Below are 10,667 nucleotides of genomic sequence, written 5' to 3' on the forward strand. Positions count from 1 at the left end.
CATTTGGGAAGAGACTGTCCTTTCCCAATGTACCTTCTTGGCTCCTTTGCTGAAAATAAGTTAACCGTAGATGTATGGATTTTTTGCTGGGTTCTCTTTTCTGTTCTATTTGTTCATGCGTCTGTTATTATGCCAGTACCATGCTGTTATTTTCACGATACCTCTGTAGCACAATTCAAGGTCAGGTAATGTGATTCCTCCAGTTTTGTTCTTTTTGCTCAGAGTGGCTTTGGCTATTCTGGGTCTTTAAATGGCTTGATAAAAATATTAGAATTATTTTTTATGTTTCTGTGAAGAATATCATCGGTATTTTGAGAGGGATTGCATTGAACCTGTAGATTGCTTTGAGTAGTATTGACATTTTAACAATATTGACTCTTCCAATCTATAAACATGGAATAGCTTTCCTTTCTTTTGTGTCCTCTCCAACTTATTGCTCCAATGCTTTATCGTTTTCAATATAGAGATCTTTCATTTCCTAGGATAAGTTAATTCCTAGGTATCTTTTTTTAAAAAATTCAGTTTTATTTTATAAAGATAAAAAACATTTTTGATAATCTTAAAAACATAATTTAAATAAACACACTTATAGAGAGGCTACAAGTGAGGATAAAGAACATTTTTTCTTTTTTTTTCTTTATTTTTATTGGCAAGTAATTATTACACATATTCATGGGGCACAGGGCACATGGTGACGTTACAATACATACAATATATAGTTAGCACCTAATTGTAAGTTCTTACCACCTTGTACAAGTTAGAACAATATTTACCAACTGGATGTATTTAAAGATGAATTTAGAGTGAAATTATTTCAGTTCATCCACGTAGGTGCCTGATCCTGGTCTTGCCCCAAGTTCCCCCACTCTGAGTTTTAAATATCCTCAACAGAGAACATACGTGCATAGTGGTAAAAAATCAGTGAGAAAGTGAATAATTTGAATTATTTCACTGAGACGTCTCAGAATTGATATTAACTATTTGAACTGCTGGAAGCTCTGCAAGGACTTCATGTCTAAAACACCAAAAGCAATGGCAACAAAAGCCAAAACTGACAAATGGGATCTAATTAAACTAAAGAGCTTCTGCACAGCAAAAGAAACTACCATCAGAGTGAACAGGCAACCTACAAAATGGGAGAACATTTTCGCAACCTACTCATCTGACAAAGGGCTAATATCCAGAATCTACAATGAACTCAAACAAATTTACAAGAAAAAAACAAACAACCCCATCAAAAAGTGGGCGAAGAACATTTTTTATATACCCCTTGAGAGTTAGGTTGACAAGAAGATATCCTTCTGTCCCAAATACTAGTTTTTGTTTTTGTTTCTGTTTTGGTAGGGTATCTATCACGGCAAGCATTTATCATTTGTGTTTCAAGCAATCCAGCTGTAGTCTTTTAATTATTTTTAAATGTACAATTAAATTAACTTTTTACTACAGGTACCCTGTTTTGCTAGAAAATACTAAGTGTTATTTATTCTTTCTAACTATATTTTGTACCCATGAATCATCCCTTTTTCCCCCCAACCCCTGACTACCCTTCCTGCCTCTGGTAACTATCCTTCTACTCTCTATCTCCATGAGTTAAATTGTTTCAATCTTTAACTCCCACAGATTAGGGAGAATTTGTGGTGTTTCTCTTTCTATGCATGGCTTATTTCACTTAAAATAATGACCTCCTGATTATCAGAGAAATGCAAATCAAAACTACAATGAGATATGTTACTCCAGTTAAAATGTCTTTTATCCAAAAGACAGGAAAAAATAAATGCTAGCAAGGATGTGGAGAAAAGGGATCCCTCATACACTGTTGGTGGGAATGTAAATTTGAGCAACTATTATGAAGAACAGTTCATAGCTTCCTCAAAATACTAAAAATAGAGCTATCACATAATCCAGCAATCCCACTACTAGGTAGATATGAAAAAGAAAGGAAATCAGTATATCAAAGAGTTATCTGCACTCCCAGGTTTATTGCAGTACTATTCACAATAGCCAAGATTTGGAAGCAACCTAAGTGTCCATCAACTTACAAAGGGATAAAGAACATGTGGTACATATACACAATGGAGTACTACTCAGCCATATGAAACAATTAGATTCTGTTATTTTTTGTAGTTATGGTAAATGGGATTATTTCCAATTTGATTATCAGATAGTTCACTGTTGGCATAAAGAAATACTACTGATTTCTTATGTTTATTTGTATCCTACAACTTAATTTTTTTATTAGCTCTTATAGTGTTTCATTGGAGTCATTAGATTTTTCCACATATAAGATCATATCATCTGCAAACAAGGATAACGCTATTTCTCCCTTTCCAATTTGGATGCCCTATATTTCTTTCTCTTGTCTGATTGTTCTAGCTAGGACTTTCAGTAATATCTTGAATAACAGTGGTATAAGTAGGTATAAGAACGACCCACTGGTTATTCAGGAGCATATTGTTTAATTTCCATGTGTTTTTATGGTTTCCAAAATTCCTCTTGATGCTGATTTCTAGTTCTATTTATTATTATTGTGGTCGGAAAAGATACTAGATATATTATAATTTCATTATTTTTGAATCTTTGAAGACCTGTGGCCTAACATATGGTCTATCCTTGAGTATAATCCATGTGCTGAGAGGAAGAATGCATATTCCGCAGCTATTGCATGAAATGTTCTGTAAATACCCAATAGGTCCATTTCATCCATAATGCATATTAAGTCCGATGTTTCTTTGTTGATTTTCTGTATGGATGATCTGTACAATGCTGAAAGTGGAGTGTTGAAATCTCCAACAATTATTGTGTTGGGATCTGTCTCTCTTTTTAGCTCTAATAACATTTGTTTACATATCTGGGTGCTCTACTGTTGGGTACGTATATACTTAGAATTGTTGTATCCTCTTATTGAATTGATATTTCTGAATTTCTCATTATATAATGACCTTATTTGACTCTTTCTATAGTTTTTGTCTGGAAATCTATTTTATTCAATAAATAGAGCTATTCCTCCTCTTTTATGCTGTCTGTTAGCATGGAATATCTCTTTTTACCCCATTATTTTCATTCTACATCTGTTTTTGTAGGTGAAGTGAGTTTCCTACAGCCAATAGATCATTTGGTCTCGTTTTTTTTTTCATTTATTCATGCACTCTTTGTCTTTCTATTGGACTTTCAATTTTGTTTACCTTCAATGTTGCTACTGGTAAGTAGGTACTTTGCACTGCTATTTTGGTATCTGTTTTGTTTGTTTTGTTGTCTTCTTTTTTCCTTCCTTCCCATCTTCTATTTTTGAAATTGATTTTTTCTGTTGGTATGTTTACATTTCTTAATTTATATAATTTTTGTATCTGTTTCTGGTTTTGCAATTAGAGGTTACCATGAGGTTTCCAAATCATATAACCCATTATTTTAAACTGATGATAACTTATCTTTGATGGCAAAGACAGTTAAATTAACAAACAAATAAAGAGAAAACTAACCAAAACTCTGCATTTTAACTTTATCTGTCTGACTTTTTAACTTTTTATTTTTTCTATTTATATATCATTGTACTATCTATGTCTTAAAAAGCTGTAGTTATTATTTTTGGTATATTCATCTATGAGTCTACCTACTTAAGATATAAGTAGTTTACATACCACAATTAGAGTGTTACAATAATCTGTATTTGTCTGTCTACTTACTATTACCAGTTTGTTTTGTACCTTAGGATGATTTCCTCTTGCTCGTTAAGATCTTTGTCTTTCTTTTTTAATTTTAATTTTTAATTGTTTGATTAAATAGATGAAGAATAGATGATTTCTGGTTGTGTGGATAAGTTATTTAGTGGTGATTTCTGATATTTTAGTGTACTCATCACCTGAGCATTGTACACTGTACCCAATATGTAGTCTTTTAACCCTCAAACCCTCTCCCAGCCTTACCCCCAAGTATCCAAAGTCTGTTACATAATTTTTATGCCTCTGCATCCTTATAGCTTAGTTCCTACTTGTGAGACCATACAGTATTGGCTGTTCTGTTCCTGACTTAATTCATTTTGAATAATGGCCTCCAGCTGCATCCAAGCTGCTGCTAAGACATTTTTTGTTCCTTTTTATGTCTGAGTAGTATTTCATGTTGTATATATACCATATTTTTTTGTCCACTTATTGGTTGATGGGCACTTAGGTTGATTCCATATCTTTGCTATTGTGAATTGTGCTACTATAAACATGAGTGTGCATGGGTCTTTTTCATATGACTTTTTTTTCCTTTGGGTACAAAACCAGTAGTCAGATTGCTGGATCAAATGGGAGTTCTACATTTAGTTCACTTGGGAATCTCTATACTGTTTTCCATAGAGACTGTACTAATTTACATTCTCACCAGCAGTGTAAAAGTGTTCCCTTTTCGTCAAATTCATGCCAACAACTATTGTTTTTTAAATTTTTAATTATGACAATTCTTGAGAGAATAAGGTGGTACCTCATTGTGGTTTTAATTTGCATTTTACTGATGATTAGTGATGTTTGGCATTTTTTCATATGTTTGTTGGCTGTTTGTCAATCTTCTTTTGAGAACTGTCCATTCATTCCTTTGCCCACTTTTTGATTTAATTTCTTTTTCTTGCTGATTTGTTTGAGTTCCTTGTAGATTCTGGATATTAGTACTTTGTTGGATATGTAGTTTGCAAATATTTTCTCCCACTCTGTGGGTTGTCTGTTTGTTGATCATTTCTTTGGCTGTGCAAAAGCTTTTTAGTTTAATTAGGTCCCATTTATTTATTTTTGTTATAGTTGCATTTGCTTTTGGGATTTTAGTCATGAATTCTTTGCCTAAGCCAATGTCTAGATGAATTTTTCCAATGTTATCTTCTAGAACTTTTATGGTTTCAAGTGTTAGATTTAAGTATTTGATCCATCTTGAATTGATTTTTGTATAAGGTGAGAGATGGGAATCCAGTTTCATTCTTCTACATGTGGCTTGCCAGTTTTCCCGGCACCATTTATTGAATAGGGTGTCCTTTCCCCAATTTATGTTTTTGTATGCTTTTTAGAAGATCAGTCAGCTGTAAGTATTTGTCTTTATTTCTGGGTTCTCTATTCTGTTCCATTGGTCTATATTCCTATTTTTATACCAGTACCATGCTGTTTAGGTAACTATAAATTTGTAGTATAATTTGAAGTCTAATAATGTGATGCTCCCAAATTTGTTAATTTTTCTTAGTATTGAATTTCTTAGTATTGTTAATTTTTCTTTCTGGCTATGTGAGCTCTTATTTATTTGGTTCTGTATAAATTTTAGAATTGTTTTTTTCTAGTTCTGTGAAGAATAAGCATCTTTTTCTTTCTGATTGAAGTACTCCCTTTAGCATTTCTTGTAGGACAGGTTTGGTGTTCAGAAAATCTCTTAGCTTTTGTTTGTCTGGGAGTGTCTTTATATCTCTTTCAAGTTTGCAGGATATTTTTGCTGGATCTACTATTCTAGGATTTTTTTTTCCTTCAGTGCTTTAAATATGTCATGCCACTCCCCTGGCCTGTATAGTTTCCACAGAGAAATTTGCTGTGAGGTGTATTGGTGCTTCATTGTAAGTTATTTGCTTCTCTTCTCTTTCTACTTTTAGGAATATTCTTTATAAATGACCCTCGTGAGTTTGATTATTAAATGTCTTGAGGTATTTGTATTTCAGTTAAATCTCATTGATGTTCTATAACCTTCTTGTTCTTGAATATTAATAGCAGAATTGAGGTTTGAAAAGTTCTCTTTTATTATCCCTTTGAATACACTTTCTATCTTGATCTGTCTACCTCTTCTTTAAGGCCAATAACTCTTAGACTTGCCCTTTTACGGCTATATTATAGATCTTGTAGGCATGCTTCATTGTTTTATTATGTTTTATCTCATCTGAGTGTGTATTTTGAAATAGTCTGTATTCAAGCTAATTCTTTTTTCTTCTTGATCAGCTTAGTTATTGAGAGACTGTCACACATTCTTCAATTTTTCAATTGAATTTTTTATCTACAGAATTTCTAAATGATTTTTCTAAATTATTTCAATCTCTTTGTTAAATTTATTTGATAGGATTCTGCTTTCATTCTCTGTGTTATCTTGCATTTCATTGAGCTTCCTCAATAACAGCTATTTTGAATTCTCTGTCTGAAAGATCACCCATCTCTGTCACTCTGGAGTTGTTCACTGGTGACTTATTTAGTTCATTTAGTGAGGTCATGTTTTCCTGCATAATCTTGATTATTGCTGATGTCTTGGCATTGAAGAGTTAGATATTTATTTTAATCTTTGCAATCATGGCTTGTTTGTAATCATCATTCTTGAGAAGGCTTTCCAGGTATTCAAAGGGAATTGAGTGTTGTAATCTTTGGTCACTGCAGTCTTATGTGCATTAGAGGTCATCCTAAGCCCAGTGATACTGTGACTCTTGCAGATGCATGGAGAAACCACCTTGATGGTCTTGTGGTAGATCTGGGAGAATTTCCTGGATTATTAGAGAGATTCTTTTGTTCTCTTCCTCTATTTTCCCCAAACAAATGGATTCTTCTTTCTGTGCTGAGCTGCCTGAATTTGGGGGAAAGGTGATGCAGGCACTCTTGTGGCCTCCACTACTGAGATTGTGCTTGAAGCCAGCACTGTACTGGGGCTCACCGAGGCCTCTGTCAATAATTTCCTGGCTATTGCTAATGTTTGTTCAAGACTCAAGCGTTGCTCTTCGGCCTGCAGATGATGAATCCTGCCAGGACTGAGTCTTTCACTTCAGATGAGTACGTTCCCTTTTTCCCCAGAGTAGGTCTATGAATGCCATCCAGGAAATAAGGCCTGACATCGAGGGCTTTAGGAATCTGCTTCATGCTTTATTTCACTCGGGCTGAGTTGGCACCCAGATTGCAAGACAAAGTCCTTTTTTTTTTTTTTTTGAGAAGGAGTCTCACTCTGTTGCCCAGGCTAGAGTGCAATGGCATGGTCTTGGCTCACTGCAACCTCCACCTCCCAGGTTCAAGCAATTCTCCTTCCTCAGCCTCCTGAGTAGCTGAGACTACAGGCGTGTGCCACCACACCAGGCTAATTTTTGTATTTTTAGTAGAGACGGGGTTTCACCATATTGGCCAGACTGGTCTTGAACTCCTGACCTCGTGATCTGCCTGCCTTGGTGTCCCAAAGTGCTGGGATTACAGGCATGAGCCACCACACCCAGCCCAAAGTCCTCTTTAATTAGTCTTCTCTTTTCCTTAAGCAGAAGAAGTCTCTCCCCTGGCCACCACCGTCCTAGGCCCATGGCAAGTACTGCCAGGTACTGTTTCTTATTTAAGGCTCAAGAACCCTTTAGTCAGCAGGTTGTTAAGTCCTGCCTGACCTGGACCTCTCCCTTTAGGAGAGTGGGTTCCATTCTGGTCCAGAGTAGATCTAGAAATGCACGCCAGGAACTAAGGCCAAGAATTGGAAATGTTAAGAGACTGCTTGATACTTTATCTTACTGTGGCTTAGCTGGTGTCCATGTTGTAAAATTAGATTCTTTTTACTCTTCTCTCTCCTTTCCTCAAGCAGAAAGAGTCTCTCCCCATGGCCACCATAGCTGGGAATGGCCTGGGTCACTTCTGAAGCCAGCATGGCCCTGGGTCTCACCCAGGATCCATGACGAGTACTGCCTGGCTACCACTGATTTTCAGTCAAGTCCCAAGGGCTCTTAAGTCAGCTTTTGGTGAATGCTGCCAGGCCTGGGACTCTGCCTTCAGGGCAGTGGAATCCCTTCTGGCCCAGATAAGGTCCAAAAATTCCACCCAATAACCAAGGCTTGAAATTGGGGACCCCAAGAAACCACTTGGTACTCTACCTGACTGAGGCTGAGCTGGTACACAAGCTGCAAGACAAAGTCCTCTTTACTCTTCCTTCTCCTGTCCTCAAGAAGAGGGAAGAAATCTCTCCTGGAGCTGTGAGCTGCACTGCCTGGGACTGGGGGAAGGGTGACATAAGCACTCCTTTGGCCGACTGTGTTGGTATCTCACTAGACTGTGTGCCCCTCAAGTCCACTGGCTCTCAGCCCAGTACAGCAGGAGGAGTTGCCCAGGATTGCAGTCCTTGAGTCCTAGACTATCTTTTAAGTTTATTTTGAACCCCATAGCACTTTAGCCCACTGTGGTGGGGCTAAGCAGAACTCAGGTTCTGACCTCTGGGATGGTAAGTCCTCTTTGGCTATGACTGGTATAAGTGTTCCCTCCATTGGGTGCTGGACTGTATTCTACCCTGGGATGTTTTCCATTGTGACAGGGCAGCACTGAGTTCCAATGAAATGTTCCGTCATCACTTTACCCTCCCTCCCCCAAGCACACAGATTCTTTCTCTGTGCCACATGGCCACTGCCAGGGTGGGGAGAATGTGGGAGGGTTGACGTTGGCAATTCAAGACTGTCTTTCCTACTGTCTTCAGTTAGTCTTAATAGGATGTTAAAACCAGGTACTGTGAACACTTGCCTGACTTTTGGTTCTTATGAAGGTGCTTTCTTATGTGGATAGTTGTTCAATTCAGTGTTCCCGTGGGGGACAATGATTGGTGGAGGTTTCTATTCTCCTCCTGTCTTAATTCAAATAGTTTTTGCTGATATAGATCATTTCAAATTTTATCACTACAAAAAATGCTTCTACTAATATATTCATGCATAACTTAAAGACAGAATACATTCTAAGAAATGTGTCTTTGGGAAATTTTCATTCTTGTGTGAACATCATAGATTTTACTTACACAAACCTAGAGTTTATGGCCTACTACACACCTAGACTGTATGGTATAGCCTATTGCTACAGGCTACAAATCTGTACAGCATGTAACTGTACTGAATACTGTAGGTAACTGTTTGTTATATAGTGGTGAGTATTTTTGTATATAAACATGTCTAAAGATAGAAAAGGTACAGTAAAAATATGGCATTATAATCTCATGTGACCACAGTGCTATACATGGTCTCTTGTTTACCTAAATATCATTCTGTGGTTCATGACAGTACATTTAAGATTTTTTCATATTTTGGATTAGTTTTCTTATGATAGATTCCCAGAAGCATCATTATTGGATATAAATTACTATATATATATATATATCTCCAATAATTTTTATATATATATATATATATATATATATATATATATATTCTGAATTACTAGAATGTCATCCCACAAGCAGTCATTGAGAAATTCTCTATGATCTCACACCACCAGCATGGAATTTCATCTTTTTAAAACTCGATAAAAGATGCAGCAGATTTGACTTGACATTTTCTGTGATACCCAACTAGTCTAATTCTAGGAATTAATGAACAAATAGAATAATCTGAAATCATTAGAATATGATATAGGTTAGCATTCTCTTGGTTGCAGTTAACCAACTTAAATTACCTTAAGCAAGATGAAAGTGATTTATTGTAAATAAACAGGATTTATCAAGGAACCCAAGTACAGAAGGAAACCAGAAAGTAACTAGAAGCAAGAATGCTATCAGTGTTTTCTTTCTAATTTGTTTGTACTCTGTTCTGTGTGTTTTCTTCATTTTTCTTTTTCTTTGCAGAGTGACTTTCTTTGCTTCTGTAGTTCATATGACTGTGTTTGTTTAGTATACAACAACCAGGAGATAAATTGATATCATTTCTTTCATTTGCAATTAAAATTTCTGGAAAAGAGTCTCGGATTAATCCAGCTTGCATCAGATACCCATTCATCATTTGTTCAACTGTGTTTGTTGTGGGATCACACAATAAAGTCTGCCAAAAGTCTTGCCACTCTAAAATAATGTTTCCAGAAAATTAGTAAATGGCCAGATACTCCAATAGATTTCCAATGCAAAAAATTCAATGATTGAGACACTAGTAGCATTAGATGTGCCAGTTATCCTCAAAAACTGTCCAAAGTCTCAAAATCTAACGTTTCTTCTTCAGCTATGATTAAAGAAAATTTTGTCTTGAGTATAAAATTTTCCATAACTAGAGAGTCTTTCTTTTCCCAACTCTCTTGAGTGTGAGGTGGTTATAACTTCTGGAAACTATGTATTCAAATGTCATACTATATCTGTCCTTTAAGTTCAAATTTGAATTTCTCAGTGAAATCACATGATGGTATCGTTTTCAAGTCATTCATAGAAGCTATTGTAGAAATAAAATAAAGCATGGATATACCTTTGTAGCAGATATTAAAATAATATGCTTATTTTTTCTGTATGATATAACTTTCCTCTTTACTCTCTCTCCCCTAGTTTCACATCCAAAATCATACTTTCCAGAAAAGGAAACTAAGATCCAAAGATGTTATTGACCTGCTCAAGACCCCACATATATGTAGAAGCAATGTCAGGACTAGAAGTTGGTTGCTTGATTTTATGTCACTGCTTTCTCTGACATATAATAAAATTTATGTTTTATCCTTTAGTGGCGGAAAGTCTTATTGATATATCACAAATATTTTATTTAATATTTTCCAATAATTGATAGAGGCACATACACAAAATTTAAAATTTACAAAAAGAATCTAGTTGAAAGGAAATGTCAGGTCAAAACACACGTATGCTCAATGATGAGATCCCTGGATATCTCCCTTCATTACACTTCTAGAACACTGGAAGCCAGGACTTTACCCTTCAGTACAGACAGGGAGAGCCTTCTCTGAGGAATATAATCAGTTCAAGAGGAAATAACTAAA

The 10,667-nt window shown here is 35.7% G+C and overlaps 1 long non-coding RNA gene across 1 annotated transcript; it reads left to right on the forward strand.

Annotated features, from left to right (window-relative positions):
• The first annotated feature begins 8,356 nt into the window (after positions 1 to 8,356).
• LOC107985666 (uncharacterized) lies at positions 8,357 to 10,396 on the forward strand. Its single transcript, XR_001755995.1, has 2 exons — positions 8,357 to 8,439; positions 10,225 to 10,396. It is a non-coding gene; the product is annotated as an uncharacterized LOC107985666 (long non-coding RNA).
• The last annotated feature ends 271 nt before the right edge of the window (positions 10,397 to 10,667 follow it).

Source organism: Homo sapiens, chromosome X (assembly GCF_000001405.40).
Source record: "Homo sapiens chromosome X, GRCh38.p14 Primary Assembly".
Lineage (NCBI taxonomy): Eukaryota > Metazoa > Chordata > Mammalia > Primates > Hominidae > Homo > Homo sapiens.